General features: G+C 46.9%; 1 pseudogene across 1 annotated transcript in view, besides 1 other annotated feature; it reads left to right on the forward strand.

Annotated features, from left to right (window-relative positions):
- SNX29P1 (sorting nexin 29 pseudogene 1) overlaps positions 1-18,301 on the forward strand; it is a 36,571-nt pseudogene extending 18,270 nt beyond the window's left edge. Inside the window, exons 3-6 of the transcript NR_045011.1 lie at positions 9,016-9,197; positions 12,513-12,583; positions 14,498-14,743; positions 17,925-18,301. The product of NR_045011.1 is annotated as a sorting nexin 29 pseudogene 1 (transcript). The remainder of the gene's footprint in view (positions 1-9,015; positions 9,198-12,512; positions 12,584-14,497; positions 14,744-17,924) is intronic.
- Positions 12,410-12,911: an enhancer, noted in NCBI's record as "H3K27ac hESC enhancer chr16:21391363-21391864 (GRCh37/hg19 assembly coordinates)". NCBI's record gives its function as "activates a minimal SCP1, AML or CMV promoter by ChIP-STARR-seq in naive H9 embryonic stem cells {active_cell/tissue: H9 hESC(naive)}" and the evidence as "EXISTENCE:reporter gene assay evidence [ECO:0000049][PMID:30033119]".
- Positions 18,302-18,627: the final 326 nt, after the last annotated feature.

Here is an 18,627-nt window from a genome sequence, read left to right on the forward strand (position 1 = left end):
CCACCTGCCTTGGCCTCCCAAAGTGTTAGGATTACAGGCTCATCCTTGTAGCTCTAGTGTCTTGCAAGGTACCTGGCCACCTGCACAGTAGAGGCCACCAAAGGACTGCATTCAAAATAACCACTTGAAGACCCTGACTTCATAACATGCTGCTCATTTTCCCGGGAAGCCAAACCCCTACTCTCAGTGGTCTGTATGCATCTTTAGTCAGTGGGAAGCGGTGATAATATCCCCACAACTGTAAAACGAGAGAGACCGACTTCCTTGATCTTCAGTGGGGATTTTTGAAAATGGTTGATTGCACTCAAAGCAGAATTTGTATTTTGCTTCATTGGGTCACCTTGGGCAACAATTTCATTTCTGTAGAAAATTAATTTTGGAGGAAGCTGCATGTGCCAGGGGAGCCCTGGGTCCATCCTTTTGATGGTGAGGGGAAGTCCAGTTCCTCACTCGCCCATCCCTGCTTTTGGTTCCCTGTTGGTGATTTTCTTTTGTATTCCTGCACGTGCAAATCAGCTGCTTTTGGTAAGGGAAGCCTTGGAAGGATGTCTGCTGAAGGTGCAGAGAAAATGCAGAGCTCCGTTCAAGGTGAAAAAAGTGGTTGACAACTGGCAGAAAGAAGCTGGCCTTAGGGAGGAAGTCAGAAGCCAGGGTGCTGTACCCCTTGGGCTGTGTGTTAACTCCTGGGTCACTGGATCATGGGGATGTCCACAGGGTCCCTCGGGGGTGGGTTCTTGACACCCAGGGTGGCAGGGACCTGGGCCGGTGGCTATTTACTAAGGGGTATGAATGTGTCCCAGCATGTTAAGATCTAGTGGAGCTGGACTGATACCTATTGGCCGAATGTGACCTCTGCCTGTTTCAAAGGTGTTTAATCCTGATGTCTCATAAATTAAGACTCAGGCCTGTAATCCCAGCACTTTGGGAGGCCGAGGTGGGTGGATCACTTGAGGTCTGGAGTTCGAGACCAGCCTGGCCAACATGGTGAAACCCTGTCTCCATTAAAAATACAAAAATTAGCTGGGCATGGTGGTAGGCACCTGTAATTCCAGCTACTTGGGAGGCTGAGGCAGGAGAATTGCTTGAACCCAGGAGGCGGAGGTTGCAGTGAGCTGAGACCATGCCCTGGCACTCCAGCCTGGGCGACAGAGCAAGACTCCACCTCAAAAAAAAAAAAAGTAAAAAAGACTCAGTTTGGCCTCTGAGTTGTCAGTTTTTAGATCACAGTTATCCAGCCTGAGTTCCGTGGGTCCTTTGCTTTGCTCCTTTCAGAATGTAAATGACTCTTCAGCTCATGATGGCGTATGCCCCTAAAAGGAAGTGAGATACAAGTTTTAGAAGTCCTTCTTAGAAATTTTCCTTTTTTTTTTTTTTTTTTTTTTTTTTTAAATAAGAGACAGGGTCTTGCTCTGTTGCCAGGCTAGAGTGCAGTGGTGCAATCATGGCTCTCTGCAGCCTTGAACTTCCTGGCTCAAGCGATCCTCCCACTTCAGCCTCTCAAGTAGCTGGGACTGCACATGCATGCCACTGTGCCTGGTTAATTTATTTCCTACTCTTTAATAAAGGAGGTGGTATGCTGTAAACTCTTGTAGGATGCGGGTGTGTTATGCTGAGCCCTGGTTCTGGAAGGCAGTCTTGTGGCTAGTTGGAAGATGGTAGAGTGACAGAGCTCAGCCCCTTGTTGGCACTCTGCTCTGCCAATCCATTTGTGCCTTGCAGTCAGGCTGGCTCAGTTTGGGATGTGACAGATTTAGGAGCACTTGTATTCACTGAGTTCTCAGGCTGGCACATGAGTGAACTTGGTTTACCTTTGTTCCTGGCATGGCTGATACCATGTGTGGCTGATTCTGTTAGAGTGTGCCCTCAGATTCATCCCTCTGTCTTCTTTGGCTTTGATAGAACCCAGATTTTGCTTGAGGCTGTGGTATGTACTCCTTTATCTCGGTGAGGGATTAAGCCAGTTTTGAGTTTTGTTCTTTGCTTTCTTTGCTCCCTTGTGATTTTCTGGGATTACTTGTTCTTTCCTGATAAAAGGGGCGATAAAGCTGGCTTCATCCCATTCCCTTTCTTCCTGCTCAATTGTAAATGAGATGCCCAAAGTTAGGACAGTCCTCTGTGACAGCGAGGTCAAAAGGTTGGAGGTTTTGGCCTGACATAGCCTTTGTATCACTGGCCTATTTCCAGACTAGCCCAGCTCCATGGGGTTGGATTTTCTTTGTGTGTGGGTTTTTTTGTTTTGTTTTGTTTTTAGAGACAGGGCCTTGCTCTGTTAACTAGGCTGGAGTGCAGTAGTGCAATCATAGCTCATTACAGCCTCAAACTCCTGGGGTCCAGCCATCCTCCTGCCTCTGCCTCCCAAGTAGCTGGGACTACAGGTGTGTGCTGCCACACTCGGCTCCTTGTAGTTGGGTTTTCTGTTTCCTTTTTTTAGAGATGGGTTCTTACTATGTTGCCCAGGCTGGTCTTGGGTTTTCTGTTTTTTTCTTTTTTTTTTTTTTTTGAGACAGAGTCTTGCTCCATTGCCCAGGCTGGAGTGCAGTGGCACCATCTCGGCTCACTGCCAGCTCCGCCTCCCGGATTCACACCATTCTCCTGCCTCTGCCTCCCAAGTAGCTGGGAGTACAGGCGCCCACCACCACACCTGGCTAATTTTTTGTATTTTTAGTAGAGATGGCGTTTCACCGTGTTAGCCAGGATGGTCTCGATTTCCTGACCTCGTGATCCACCTGCCTCAGCTTCCCAAAGTGCTGGGATTACAGGCGTGAGCCACCGTGCCCGGCGGGTTTTCTGTTTTTTTTGTTGTTGTTGAGCAATGCTTTGTTTTGGGGCAGTGTTGTCACATTGATGAGACACCCCTCACCCCCCATGGCTGTGGAGCACAGGTGTTGCTCAGCACTTGGTGTGTTCTTGGTCTTCTATAGATGATTGTCAGATGACTGAAGAACATGCCCTGTCTCACTGCATTATTTCCTGTGGTTGCAAATGATAGAAAATTCTTTAGATTGATTTAAGAAAAAAAAAGATGAAGGACATTTATTTATTGACTCAAGTATCTAAGAAATCATCTTGGAGTTGAGCTGGATTCAGGGGGCCTGCCCTTCTCCCAAATCTGTCTCCATCTGTCATCCCTCAGCACCGCTTCTCTGTGGTTGGGTGTCTTTCCAGGTGGGGGGTCTCTACATGATGGGGTGGAAAATGGCCCCAAGTAGCTCCAGGTTTCCAGGATGATGAGAGATCCTACTTCTAGGACGGGGTCGGCACACTCCCTCCTTATGGGTCATATTATAGGGTTTGTGAGCCATGCAATCTCCATCGCAGTGACTCAGCTCTGCCACTGGAGCAGAAACTCAGCCACAGACCATATGGGAGCAAATGGGTGTGGCTGCGTTCCAAGACCACTGTGCTTACAAAAACAGTTTGGAGGCCAAATTTGACCCCCAGGCCATTGTTTGCTGACCTCAGCTCCTGGAGGAGACAAGGCCTCTTTTCTGGTGGCTCTGGTAGAACTTGTGCGAAGGGACCCTGTGGTCCAGGGCTGAGACTGGGGTGAGGTTAGTGACACACTCACTTTGGCCACAAAATTGAAGGCGGTACCAAAAAACTTATCAATCAAGATAAATACTATTTTTATGTAATATTAAAAAAAAATGAAAGTTGCATATGCCATGGTTCCGGCCAGTTAATTGCCTGCCCTGGGTTAGCTGTCCACCCCTGCAGTAGGGGGAGGTTAGGATAGTGCTGAAGGATCCCAGTGGAATGTGTTTCCCATAGGAAAGAGGGGTGGTCTTACTAGAAGAAAGGGAAAGGGACCAGGCTCGGTGGCTTACGCCTATAATCCCAGTGCTTTGGGAGGCCGATGCTGGATGATCATTTGATTCTAGGAGTTCAAGACCAGCTTGAGTAACATAGTAAGACCCTTGTCTCTACAGAAAAAAATAAATTAGCCGTGTATGGTGGTGTACACCTGTAGTCCCAGCTACTCATGAGCCTGAGATGGGAAGATCGCTTGAGCCCAGGAGTTCAAGACTGCAGTGAACTATGATCGTGCCACTGTGCTCTAGCCTGGGCGACAGAGTGAGACCTTGTCCGCACCCCACCCCTCAAAAACAAAACAAAACAAAACAAAACCCCAAACAAGGAAAAGGAATGCTGTTTGGTGCACGTGTAGTAGTGATATTAATAGTTGGTTTTCGTTGAGCACCAATTATATGCCAGGTATGTTAATAACTATGGCTAACATTTATTCACTGCATTTATTGGATACACTTTACATGTATTCCTTTTTCTCATTTTTCCCTCATAGCAATCCATACACATAGGTACTGTTCTCCCCACTGTACAGATGAAGAAAGTAGAGGACAAAATAAGTTTCCCAAGGTCACACAGTGCCTGAACTAGAATTTGGGACAAGGTTTTTGTCTTCCTTGTGGTCCCCAAGGAATGAATTCTTGGGCATCGGTGATAGTTAAGTCTTGATAGAAACTTTCCCAAAAGCCTGGTGCTGTTAGTCATCCTCTGTTAATAGGTGTCCCGGGGCAGCTCTTCTCAACACCCCTTCCTGGCACTTGTTCTTGTTGGCATTCGGCTTTCAGGTGTTTGGAGAACCAGAAGCCCTTGCCCGCTTTTTGACTTAACCCCATGTTTCAAAGCAGATCAGTGTATATCCCTAAATTAAATTACGGACACCGCAGGCGCTAATTGGCAGGTGAGCTGCCCTTTAAATAGACCACATTAACTCTGGCAGTGGAAGCGGAACCCTGCTGGGATAATTCTTATCATCAGCAGCATCACCCTGACAAGCTTTAAAAGGATTCTGTAGCAGTAAGCAATTTTGCAGAATTGAAAGGTGAAAACACACTTTAAAGCGTTCATGTAGATTCAAGGTCGGAGGGAGGTGACTGCATTTTTCAAGACAGGCTGCAAGTGAGAGTCACTTGACTGGAAATGTGATGGACGTACCGACAATGGTCTGGGGTATTTTGAAATACGTTGTTGGCCGGCTGGCCCAGGGCGTTGTTGTCGCCAGATTCCCCGTCCTGGTTTCTGAGTGAGGCGGAGAGTGGAAGGAAGGCTGTTTTGTACAGTTGTGTGGATTAGACTGATCGGATGAGCTTGGGAAGTGGATTAGTTTGACATTTAGGGATTGAGACAGAAGACAGTCTTGAGGGACCTGCCCTCTTGCTGGTTTTTGTTATTCCTGGGAAGTTTATCCTAAATGATCCCAGTGATTGTCTTGATCCACAAATACTTATGCACGCTCATACGGATGTATACATTTAGATGCTGCTAACACAAAAAGGAACCCACGCGAATGCCCTCTGCTATGAAGAGAATTAATTATTAAGCAAATGCTGATTGGTCATCATGGACTGGGCACTGTGCTCGGTGCTTTCCTTCCCTTTCTAGTTACCCCAGTAACCCTGGGCGATTCTGCACTTTTGTGTTGATTTTATGGGAGAGGATTTTCAGGCTTAGCATGGTTGAGTGACTTGCTCAAGGTCATTTGGTTGAATGGACTTTTTCTCTGTTGTCCTGCCTGCTAGACTGGAAGCCCCTTAGGGACGAGTTCTTGTTGTCTCTAGCTGGTGACACATAGCCTAGCTTGGTTCACAGCTCCCAGGAAGAATGCAGTGGATCCTAGTGAAGTTGAATTGAAACATTAGAGTGAACTTAACTAGCCTGCCATGCAGTTTCTGGAGATGGGTGTACTTGCCTCCTTCTGGAAGGCAGGTTCAAAGCCTTTGTCACATTTCAGAGGGGACTGTGAGCCTGTTTAGCTCCTAGATTGGAAGCCAGGTCCGACTGCAAAGACTCAGCTTCCCCCACTTGGAATATTAAACAGTTGTGAACGTGATCATTTTGAAGAGGGCCAAGTCCCCTCATTTTGCAGGGCAGTGTGATTTAGTGGTTTGCAGTGAGCTCTGGGGTCCCTTTCTGCCATACTGTTTACTAACTGTGTTGCTGGGCGAGTCACTTCACTTGTCCTGGCTTCAGACCTTGTCTTTCACATGGAGATGGCCTTGGTTGTGATGATGTCAGATGTAAAGTGTTTACTGCAATGGCTGGTGCATAGTTAATGCTCAGTAAATAGTAGTTGCTGTTGCTGCTGTTATTATTATTGCCAGCATGAAAAAATGTTAAAGAGCCAATGTTAAGTGAAGAAAATTGATCACAAAATTATGTATACACTAGCATTACAACTATGAAAATATCTGGGGTTGGGCAAGGTGGCTCCTGACTGTAATCCTAGCATTTTGGGAATCTCAGGCAAGAGGATCGCTTGAAGCCAGGAGTTTGGTACCAGCCTGCACAACATAGCAGAATCTCATCTCTACAAATAAATAAAAATTAAAAAATTAGCTGGGCATGGGGGTGCGTGCCTGTGTCTCAGCTACATGGGAGGCCGAGACAGGAGGATCACTTGAGCCCAGGACGTTGAGGCTGCAGTGAGCTCCAGCCTGGGTGACAGAGGGAGAGGCCCTGTCTCAAAAATAAATAAATAATAATTAACTTAAAATGTATATAAAAAATTTTAAAAATCTGTGTACATGTGGATAAAAAGTGGTGGGATGTGAGGAGATACAAGTAGTTGTAGGAATGACCGTCTTATGGATAAAAACAAACTTTCTTAGGTTTCCCATAACGCCTTAAATCTGTTCCTATCCTCAGACTGAGTAATTTGACATGTGGAAATCTTTCCTAAGGAACTAGGAATGAGGACAATTATTTATGTATAGGGGTGTTCTTTACTGTACAGAGGGAAAGTTGGCCATGTGCCATGCCCTTAGCAGTATGGAAATAGTTGTTTTACTGGAAAGCCATCAAAAATCATCTTTGAAAGACTTTTAATTGTAATAGGAAAATGTTCATGCTCTAGACAAGAAAATAAATGAATCAGGATACAAAATTACACATACAAATATGTATGCGTATACACTCATACAATATGATGTGGTTTTATTTATTTATTTTTTGAGACAGAGTGGAGTATAGGGGCATGATCTTGGCTCTCTGCAACCTCCGCCTCCTGGGTTCAAGTGATTCTCCTGCCTCAGCCTCCCAAGTAGCTGGGACTACAGGCGTGTGCCACCATGCCCAGCTAATTTTTGTATTTTTAGTGGAGACATGGTTTCACCATTTTGTCCAGGATGGTCTCGATCTCTTGACCTCGTGATCTGCCTGCCTTGGCCTCCCGAAGTGCTGGGATTACAGGCGTGAGCTACCGCGCCAGCCTGTTTTTTTTTTTTGAGACAGAGTCTTGCTCTGTCGACCAGGCTGGAGTACAGTGGTGCGATCTCGGCTCACTGCAACCTCTGCCTCCTGGGTTCAAGTGATTCTCCTGCCTCAGCCTCCTGTGTAGCTGGGATTACAGGCACCTGCCACCATGCCTGGCTCATTATTGTATTTTTAGTAGAGATGGGGTTTCACCATGTTGGCCAGGCTGGTCTCGAGCCCCTGACCTCAGATGATCCGCTCGCATCGGCCTCCTGGAGTGCTGGGATTACAGACATGAGCCACTGTGCCTGGCCTGATGTGTTCTTTTCTTCTGGCTGCTGTAACAAAGTAATACACAGTTGGTGGCTTTTAAACACTATAATTTATTCTCCCACAGTTCTGGAGGCCAGAAGTCCCCAATCCATTTCACTGGGCTAAAGTCAAGGTGACAGCAGGGCTGCTTCCTTCCAGAGGCTTCAGGGCCGAATCCGTTTCTGGCCCTTCCAGAGTCTGCTCGCTGCCCACCTTCCTTGGCTATGGCTGCCCCATTCTAGTCTTTGCTTCTCTGGCCACATCATGTCCTCCTCTTCTGTGTCAAGTTTCTCTCTGCCTGCCTCTTATGAAGATCTTGTGATTACATCAGCCTCACAGGGATTATGCAAGATAACCTCCCAGTTTCCAGATCCTAACACAGTTGCACAGACTCTTTTACTATATAAGGTAATATTCAGAGAATTCTGGAGCTTATGACGTCGATATCTTTGAGGATTATAATTCAGCCTACAGCAAATGTTGATTTTTTTTATAAAAAAGAAAAGTGCAGTAAAAAAGACTGAAAATTCTTGAAAATGTCAATATTGGTCTTTTCTGGATGAGAGGTTTTAGAGTCATTTTTATTTTTGATATACTCTTCTGTATCTCCCACCTTTTTTTCTTATTTCATTATTGTTTTTGAGGCTGAGTCTTGTTCTGTCACCAGGCCAGAGTGCAGTGGTGCAATCTCAGCTCACTGCAACCTCCGTCTCCTGGTTTTAAGTGATTCTCCTGCCTCAGCCTGCCCGGTAGGTGGGATTACAGGTGTGCGCCACCATGCCCAGCTAATTTTTGCATTTTTAGTAGAGATGGGGTTTTACTGTGTTGGCCAGGCTGGTCTTGAACTCCGAGCCTCAAGTGATCCACCACATCAGCCTCCCAAGTACTGCGATTACAGGCATGAGCCACCGTTCCCAGCCTCAATTTTTATTTTAGATTCAGGGTGTACATGTGCAGGTTTGTTACCTGGGTACATTGTGTGATGCCGAGGTTCAGGGCACGATTGAACCCATCTCCCAGGTAGTGAACATAGTACCTGGTAGGTAGTTTTTCCGTCCGTGCTCTCCTCCCTCTCTACTCTCTCTAGCAGCCCCCAGTGTCTGTTGTTTGCCATCTTTATGTCTGTGTGTACCCAGTGTTAAGCTTCCATTTATAAGTGAGACTATCCACTATTTCGTTTTCTATTTCTGTGTGATTCGCTTAGGATAATGGCCTCCAGTCATCCATGTTGCTGCATAGGACACAATTTTGTTCTTTTTCATGGCTGCATAGTATTCCTTTGTGTAAATGTACCACATTTTGTTTATCTAGTCCACTATTGATGAGTATCTGGGTTGATACCATGTCTTTGGTGTTATCTCCTACCTTTTCCATGCTAAGGGGATACTCTGTTACAATCTCCAACATTGCCTAGAGGCTTTGTGTGTTCCTCTCCCAGTGCTGAGTGCCCCAGGCCGAGTGCCAGGCGCCTGCACCCTCTCTCCGTAGAGCCCGTGTTCTGGTACTACGTGAAGGAGGTCCTCAACAAGCACGAGCTGCAAGCGCTTCTACTCCCTGCGCCACATCGCCTCAGACGTGGGCTGGGGCCGCGCCTGGCTGCGCTGTGCCCTCAACGAACACTCCCTGGAGTGCTACCTGCACATGCTCCTGGCCGACCGCTGCAGGCTCAGGTACGTGGCCGGGATGGGACCTGGAATGGGATGGAGCAAGGGGTGAAGATCTTGGAGTCTGTAGTCAGACCACCTGGATTTTCATCCTAGTTCCCCGATCTGGGGCAAGTGGGCCTCCCTCTGACAGCTCCGGAGTGTTCTGCTGAGCTGTGGAGAAACTTGGGGGAGAATCATTGAGAGACTGCCTGTAACGGGCTCGGCATGGCACTTGCATACAGCCAGCTTGGATGTGGAGAGAGCTGTTGTCCTAGGACATAGCTTCCTCTTCACTTTCTGGATTTTTTTTTTTTTTTTTTTTTTTTTAAAGACAGGGTCTTGCTTTGTTTCCCAAGTTGGAGTGCAGTGGCATGAACACGGGTCACTGTAGCCTGGACCTCCCTGGCTCAAGCAATCCTCCCACCTCAGCCTCCTGAGCAGCTAGGACCCTAAGTGTATGCCACCCTGCCTGGCTAATTTAAAAAATTGTTTTGTAGCGATGGGGTCTCAGTGTGTTGCCCAGGCTGGCCTCGAACTCCTAGGTTCAAGTAATCTTCCCGCCTCAGCCTCCCAAAGTGCTGGGATTACAGGTATGAGCTACCATGACAGGTGCAGAATTTTAATTTGGGATTCTTGCATTCATTCAATCCCAAACTGAAAAACACATGGAAATTTTACATTGGGGAAGGAAGTCATTTTTGTTTGTTTGTTTGTTTTTGAGACGGAGCCTCACTCTGTTGCCCAGGCTGGAGTGCACTGCTGCTATCTGGGCTCACTGCAACCTCCATCTCCCCAGTTCGAGTGATTCTCCTGCCTCAGCCTCCTGAGTAGCTGGGATTACAGGCGTGTACCACCATACCCAGCTGATTTTTTGTATTTTTAGTGCGTACGGGGTTTAATCATGTTGGCCAGGCTGGTCTCGAACTCCAGACCTCAGGTGATCCGCCTAGGCCTCCCAAAGTGCTGGGGTTACAGGCGTGAGCTACTGTGCCTGGCCGTGGCCATTACTTTTGCTCTGAGAATGGTGGACTAGACAAGTTGTTTTGTGTCCTTGAGTGATACGGAGTGACCCTGATGAATCCTGTTCTGGTTCCTTAAGTAACTTCCTGATCAGCACCGCCCAGATCTTCAACAGTGAAATTTCACTGAATTCAATAAGTGGGCAGTTTGTGAGTAGTGTGGCATGTTCCCTTGATTTTATATCTTGCCCTGTGTTCCCTAGTTTAGGTCTCCTCTTCTGCTTTATCTACTGCTGTGGTCACCTCTCTACTGGTAATGTCTCAGATCTTCTGGGATTGTGCACTGGGGCTCTTAAAAATACCCTTAAAGTTCTCTGTTGCCTGTGGCTCCTTGTTCAATTGTATGGCAAGACTCTATGTGTCCAAAATGGGAGGGCTTGGGAGCCAGGAGGACTGACACTGACGACACCTGTGTACTGCTCACGGTCGGAGTTCGGAGGCTGAGAATGTCTGGACCTCTAGGGCATTAACCAGCTTTAGTTAAGGAAAACACACTCCTGTTTCTTTCTTTCCTTTTTTTGGAGAAGAAGTCTCGCTTTTTTGCCTAGACTGGAGTGTAGTGGTGCGATCTTGGCTCACTGTAACCTCTGCCTCCTGGGTTCAAGCGATACTCCTTGCCTCAGCCTCCCTAGTAGCTGGGTCTACCAGTGCCCGCCACCATGCCTGGTTAATTTTTGGTATTTTTAGTAGAGACGGGGTTTCACCATGTTAGCCAGGATGGTCTCAATCTCCTGACCTCGTGATCCTCCCACCTCGGCCTCCCAAAGTGCTGGGATTACAGGTGTGAGCTACTGTGTCTGACCTACTCCTTTTTTTTGAAGTGAGTTTCTGTGAAGCTCCTTCCAGCATATCATTTACGGGTAGTTCAGAGTTACATACTCAGTCTCAAAGTTGAAGTGACCAACAAGGAGAAGTCAGTCCAGCAGGTAAGAATCACAGTTGACTTTACCTGGATCACCAGCCACTTCCCTAGCTGGATGTTGGGAAAACACATTCATTTAGATGCGTGAAAACGGGCTCAGATTTTTAAAGGATTATGATTTTAGGAATCAGGTGCAGTCAGAATGTCAGCTTGAGCATGTGGTTTGTACGTCTACTAACATTTTCTGGGAAAGTATATTGGAAATGCTCCTCTTCTTTCTTTCTGTCAGTTGTATTCAGTCACTTCAGTGGCTAATTTTTCCAGTCTCTCACCCAACTACAGGTCATGTATCCCTGACTTTGCTTTAGTGAAATTGACTTTTTCCTTGATTAATTTAGAATTCAATGACCTGGCGGGGAAGTTATGGCACTGGGGATTTTTGGTTTCCATTGCTTAACAGGAAGTCAGAGAGAGCTTGGAAGCTGGACTCGGGAGACCTGCTTTTAAGCCCTGGCTGGACCATTTATTGGCTAGATGACCTTGGACAGGCCCTGTAGGCTTCCTTGACACCCCTACCCCAACTGCCATCTAGATTTGTGGGGCATTTTTAGCCTCCTAGCCTTTTCCAAGGATAATGTGGGCTTTCAGGCCTGTAACCTAGGCAGGCATTATATTATTATTATTATTATTATTATTATTATTATTATTATTATTATTATTATTTTGAGGTGGAGTCTCGCTCTTTCGCCCAAGCTGGAGTACAGTGGCGCAATCTCTGCTTACCAAGCCTCTGGGTTCAAGCGACTCTCCTGCCTCAGCCTCCCGAGTAGCTGGGATTACAAGCACCTGCCACCATGCCCAGCTAATTTTTTATATTTTTAGTAGAGATGGGGTTTCACTGTGTTGGCCAGGCTGGTCTTGAACTCCTGACCTCTAGTGATCCTCCCACCCTGGCCTCCCAAAGTGCTGGGATTACAGGTGTGAGCCACCGTGCCTGGCCAAGGCAGGCATTATATTAAATGCCCTGGTTGATGAAGCCATAGAGGCTCTGTAATTTCTGTCTGAAATGGTCTCTTCTTGTATTAGGCAAATCAGGCGAGCCCTGTTGGCAGGCTTGGATTTCCTGTCTGTCTCTTGGGGACATTGCTTGAGTGGAAGTCACCCACCTGACTGCTCCGTTCCACTTTGCTGCTTTATAAATACATTTACATATCATGTCTATTTTAGTACTCTAAAGCTGAGGGTCGGGGGGGACCAGCGAGGAAGTTGTAGGATGTATGTGTTCAATCTTCTGTTTGTAACCAGAAGCTTTAAACCAGCAGAGACCTCAGACAAATCATATCCCTCCTGGGGTGACCAGGTGCAGATCTTCCAGGGAGCCGTCTAATGGAATTTCCTGGTTAATGGACACAGAGAACCACTGCTAAGAACGATTTCCTTTTCTCTTTCAATCTGCAGTACTTTTTATGAAGACTGGTCTTTTGTGATGGATGAAGAGAGGTCCAGTATGCTTCCTACCATGGCAGCAGGTAAGCCTGGCCCAGATCAGGGCGCCAGGCCTTGTGACACATGGCAGAGGGGCTGCCTTGGGGCAGTTCCACAGCGCCATGGAATGTTGTGATTCTTCTGTCCCTCAACAACTCAATGAGTCACTTGCTGCTGTCCTTCTTTTACTAGCACTGAATGTTGGTTTTTAAATTTTTATTTCTTTAAAGAGAGAGCCTCACTCTGTCACCCAGGCTGGAGTGCAGTGATGCAACCTCAGCTCACTGCAACCTCCGCCTCCTGGGTTCAAGTCATTTTTCTATCTCAACCTTCCGAGAAGCTGGGATTACAGGCGCCTGCCACCACGCCCAGCTAATTTTTGTATTTTAATAGAGATAGAGTTTCACTATGCTGGTCAAGCTGGTCTCGAACTCTTGGGCTCAAGTGATCCACCCGCCTTGGCCTTCCAAAGCGTTGGGACTGCAGGTGTGAGCCACCATGCCCAACCACAGTGTTGGGTCCATTTATCTAGAATGTGAGACCCTGGCAGAGAAAGCGAAGATTTGAAGGTTTTTAGTTGGGCTTTGGAGATGTAATATGCATTGCGGGGAATTGGAGGTGGGAGACCTATCTTTGAATCCTGGCTTTACTCCTTGCTACCTGGTGACCTGGGGCAGATGCCGTAAGCTTTGCTGCCTTTTCTTTCCTCTCTGTGAGGTGGGAATCATGCTGTCTCAGCAGTCATCTTCATGGGGCTGTGAGAGAATCATGTGAGATCAGGAGTCGCACACACGACGAATCAACATGGAGAGACCCTGGGTTGATGTTAGTCGGTGGACTGTTACATTGTTCACCCTTTGACTCAAAGGGTGAAGGTGGAATCAGCTGGACTGAAGTGGGCAACTTGCTTCCTCTTTCCAAGTTCTTTGTTGCCTCCTTTTTGTTTTTCCTTGAAAATTTATACTAAACTCATATATCTGGGCTTATGTTAGTCCTGTCCATTGATGAGAAAAAGAATTTGACCATGATTTCCTTTGTAGATCATAAGATGCCCAGTGTAAGTTTCTGTCCACATTAATGATGATGATGTTACCAGTGCACATTTGATGGTTTATGGAGCTGAGTGTTTTGTGAGAGATTGCCTTTAATACTTACAATCCTGTGAGGAAGATAATATTGTCCCCATCTTACAGATAAGGCGACTGGAGTACAGGGAGATGATAAGTTGCTGGACCAAGGTCTTTTTTTTTTTTTTGAGACGGAGTTTCACTCTTGTTGCCCAGGCTGGAGTGCAATGGCATGATCTTGGCTCACCACAACCTCTGCCTCCTGGGTTCAAGCGATTCTCCTGCTGCAGTCTCCTGAGTAGCTGGGATTATAGGCATGCACCACCACGCCTGGCTAATTTTGTAGTTTTAGTAGAGATGGGGTTTCTCCATGTTGGTCAGGCTGGTCTCGAACTCCCGACCTCAGGTGATCCGCCTGTCTCAGCCTCCCAAAGTGCTGGGATTACAGGTGTGAGCCACCATGCCCAGCCTGGATCAAGGTCTTGTAGCTAGTAGGTGGCAGTGCTGGGATTTACCCCCAGGCAGCCTGATCCCGGGACTTGTGCCTTTACCTCCTCCCAGTTGAATTCTTATTCATATTCATCTTCCTGGCTGTTAGGGAGAGAATGTGGCATGACTCAACTCCCATGATAACGGATGTCTGCTGACCCCAGTTTCATGGGAGGTTGTTTTTTTTTTTTTTTTTGAAGCCGAGTCTTGCTCTGTCACCCAGGCTGGAGTGCAGTGGCACGATCTCGGCTCCCTGCAACCTCTGTGTGGCAGGTATTTTTATACCTATTTAAGATCAACGTGTCTCCTCTTCTGTAATCTGTTGTCTGCAGCTGTCTTCTCTTATTGGTGGTATGACTGCCCATCAGCAAGCACTCCAGACTTTTCCCTTTTTTTGGACAGGTCCGAACTCCATACTCTTTGCGATTAACATTGACAACAAGGATTTGAACGGGCAGAGTAAGTTTGCTCCCACCGTTTCAGACCTCTTAAAGGAGTCAACGCAGAATGTGACCTTGCTGAAGGAGTCCACGCAAGGAGTGAGCAGCGTGTTCAGGGAGATCACAGCCTCCTCTGCCATCTCCATCCTCATCAAACCTGAACAGGAGACCGACCCCTTGCCCGTCGTGTCCAGGAATGTCAGTGCTGGTGAGTGGGAACTGGTGCTCGAGGCGGAGCAGAGGGAATCAGAATGTGGCTGATGGGGTGGACATACCTCATCATCTGAAAGTCATTCCAAGGGGAATGGAGTCCAGTGCACTTGCGTTTTCCATTTGTGTTTCTGTTTCTCATCCTCATTCACTCTGAAAGGGCTCTGATGGCCTTACCTAGATGTGAGAATTGCTGGGTGGAAAAATGAACAGCTCAACCAGAGCGAATGGAAAGTGAGGGTGTGAGAGACACCGGGAGCCAGATGACGTTGATCCTCATTCATTCATTCCTTTATTTGTTCCTTCATCGTATTCTGTGTGTTAGGCGGTGAGCCGAATAGGAAAGACAGATTGCCAGCAGGTAGCCTGCAGTCTCCTTTGGGATGGGTGTGGGTGGGTAGTTCATGACAAAATATATAATTTAGGATCCTTAGGATAAAAGGGATGAAAGCCAAGCATAGACTGCTATGGGGAACATCTGCCATTGGGCTTGCCTCTGATTGGGGATGGCATTTAAGGCCTCAGGAAAGAGAGGAGTTGTCAGGTTTGACTCTAGGCTCTGGGGAGGCAAAAGAGAGTTGATTCAGGCTGGGCATGGTGTCTCATGCCTGTAATCCTAGCACTTTGGGAGGCCGAGGCAGGAGGATCACTTGAGTTCAAGGGTTCTAGACCAGCCTGGGCAATGTAGTGAGACCCTGTCTCAATTTTTTAACTTTTTTTTTTTTTTTTTTTGAGACAGAGTCTCGCTCTATTGCCCGGGTTGGAGTGCAGTGGCATGATCTCAGCTCACTGCAACCTCCACCTCCTGGGTTCAAGCAATTCTCCTGCCTCAACCTCCCGAGTAGATGGGACTATAGGCATGTGCCAACATGCCTGGTTTCTTTTTGTATTTTTAGCAGAGACAGGGTTTCCCCATGTTGGCCAGGCTGGTCTTGAACTCCTGACCTCAGGTGATCTGCCTGCCCTGGCCTCTTAAAGTGCTAGGATTACAGGCGTGAGCCACTGTGTCCAGCCTGTTTTTAAAAAATTTTAATTAAAAAATTAAATATAAAAAAAGAAAGTTGATTCAGTTAAGATTAATTTGGTGAGAAGTTTTCAATACCCTTTGATTCCTTTGGGACATTAAGATGTTACTACAGCAAAATTGGAAATTTTGTTGTAGTATGTATGTGTATATATGTAGAGACAGGGTCTTGCCATGTTGCCCAGGCTGGTCTTGAACTCCTGGCCTCAAGTGATCCTCCTGCCTTGGCCTCCCAAAGTGCTGGGATTACAGGTGTGAGCCACTGCATCTGGTTGAAATTGGAAATTTTGGGCTTAAGTACTTAGTATTCTCAAATCTCTTAAACAAGGCAGTAACTGTGGCCATCCCTTTGGAATTATTGATGGTGACCCTGCATGAACCTTGTAGGAGATAGGGCTGTTGACAGCTTTGTGTAACAGACACTGAAATTTCTACACCCACAGGAGTAGCAGTCCCACCCATTTTTGGAACTGCTTTTGAGGTGATCTCAGAGTTGTGCTATACCAGTGAGGCCTCACCACATCACACATTGGTTTAGACAGATTGGGTTTTTGGAATTGGCTCAAAGTGTCTTACATCCAAGTGTGATGATTAAAATAGGGGCACAAAGTGTCTTCTGTGAGAGCTGGTCACTAAGGCAAGCTTGATTTCTTTTTCAGTTAGCATTTGCTATATAACAAGTGATTTAAAAATGTAGTGGCTTAAAACCACCGCAGTTCGTTACTTTTTTGTGTAGGTTGGCATGGTGGCTCTGCTGCTGGGCTCCTTCGGCTCACTCATGGGAGCTCGTGGTTAGATTGGAAGATCTAAGATGGCCCCATCCACATGTCTGGAATCAGTGCTGGGGCTGCTCAGATTCTACTCATGGACTCTCATCCTCCAGTCGGCTGAACTGGCTTCTTTATGTATGGGGTCAGGGCCACTGTCCAGGAGAGCAAAGGCAAAGCTGAGACCTTTTAACGCCTAGCTACTAGAACTCACACAGTGTTATTTCTGCCACTTTTTTTTTTTTTTTTTTTTTTTGAGACAGAGTCTTGCTCTGTCACCCAGACTGGAGTGCAATGGCGCAGTCTCAGCTCACTGCAACCTCTGCCTCCCATGTTCAAGAAATTCTCCTGCCTCAGCCTCCCAAGTAGCTGGGATTACAGGCACCTGCCACCACGCCCAACTAATTTTTTTTTTTTTTTGTATTTTTAATAGAGACGGGGTTTCACCGTGTTTGCCAGGCTGGTCTTGAACTCCTGACCTCAGGTGATCCACCCGCCTTGACCTCCCAAAGTGCTGGGATTATAGGCATGAGCCACCGCACCCGGCCCTTTCTGCCACATTCTTTTGGTAAAAGCAGGGCATGGTGGCTCATGCCTATAATCCCAGCAATTTAGGAGGCTGAGGTGGGAGTATTGCTTGAGGCCAGGAGTTTTGAGACTAGCTTGGGAAGCACAGCAAGACCTCATCTCTACAAATAATAATAAAATTAGCTGGGTGTTGTGGCATGCACCTGTAGTCCCAGCTACTCGGGAGGCTGAGGGCAGAGGATTGTTTGATCCCAGGAATTTGAGGTTACAGTGAGCTATGATTGCACCAATATACTCCAGCCTGGGCAATAGAGCGAGATGCCCCAACTCTTAAAAAAAAAAAAAAAAAGGCAGAGCACTACGCCAGCCAGATTCAAGAGGGTGCAGAAATAGACATCACCTCTGGCTGGGAGGAGCCACAAAGACCCATTGCAAAGGGGCATGGCACAGGAATGGCAGGAATTTGAGGCTGCTCAACACTTGACTACACCCCCCAGCTGGTTCTCCTGGTCTCATCTACCAGCTATGAGAATATTTTCCAAAGTGAAGCATTGAAGATCATTTTGGTAATGGTAGCATCCTTCACATCAAAGTGACTGCTTGGAAGGAACAGTTTCAAGGTGTGCTCTGTGGTGTGTTTATTTAAATCAGTGGGAGAGGCCTGCATCCATTCTGCTCAATCTTCTGTACACAGATTTTCACTGAGGATTTTAAAAAGTCTGAATTCATGTTACAGTGTATTTCTCACTAGAATAGTATTTTCCACAACCTGGAAGTGAGTTGGTTTCATCATCCTTTTGTCTTGCCTACTTTTTCTTATACTGTATCTTTTCTTTTTTTTCTTTTTTTTTTTTTGCCAGATGCCAAATGCAAAAAGGAGCGGAAGAAGAAAAAGCAAGTGACCAACATTAACTCATTTGATGATGAGGAAGATGAGCAGAACTCTGGGGACATGTTTAAAAAGACACCTGGGGCAGGGGAGAGCTCAGAGGACAACTCCGACCGCTCCTCTGTCAATATCATGTCCGCCTTTGAAAGCCCCTTCGGGCCAAACTCCAATGGAAGTCAGAGCAGCAACTCGTGGAAAATTGATTCCCTGTCTTTGAACAGGGAGTTTGGGTACCAGAAGCTTGATGTGAAAAGCATCGATGATGAAGATGTGGATGAAAACGAAGATGACGTGTATGGAAACTCATCAGGACGGAAGCACAGGGGCCACTCAGAGTCGCCCGAGAAGTAAGTTCCCCTCACGCTTCTGTGTGTGTGTGTGTGTGTGTGTGTGTGTTTGTATGTAAGATGGAGTCTCACCGTCCCCCAGGCTGGAGTGCCGTGGCGTGATCTCAGCTCACTGCAACCTCCACCTCCCGGGTTCAAGCGATTCTCCTGCCTCAGCCTCCCGAGTAGCTGGGATTGCAGGCACCTGACACCACACCCAGCTAATTTTTGTATTTTTAGTAGAGATGGGGTTTCACCATATTGGCCAGGCTGGTCTCAAACTCCTGACCTCAAGTGATCCGCCTGCCTTGGCCTCCCAAAGTGCTAGGTTTACAGGCATGAGCCACC

This window comes from Homo sapiens, chromosome 16 (assembly GCF_000001405.40).
Source record: "Homo sapiens chromosome 16, GRCh38.p14 Primary Assembly".
In the NCBI taxonomy this organism is placed as follows: Eukaryota; Metazoa; Chordata; class Mammalia; order Primates; family Hominidae; genus Homo; species Homo sapiens.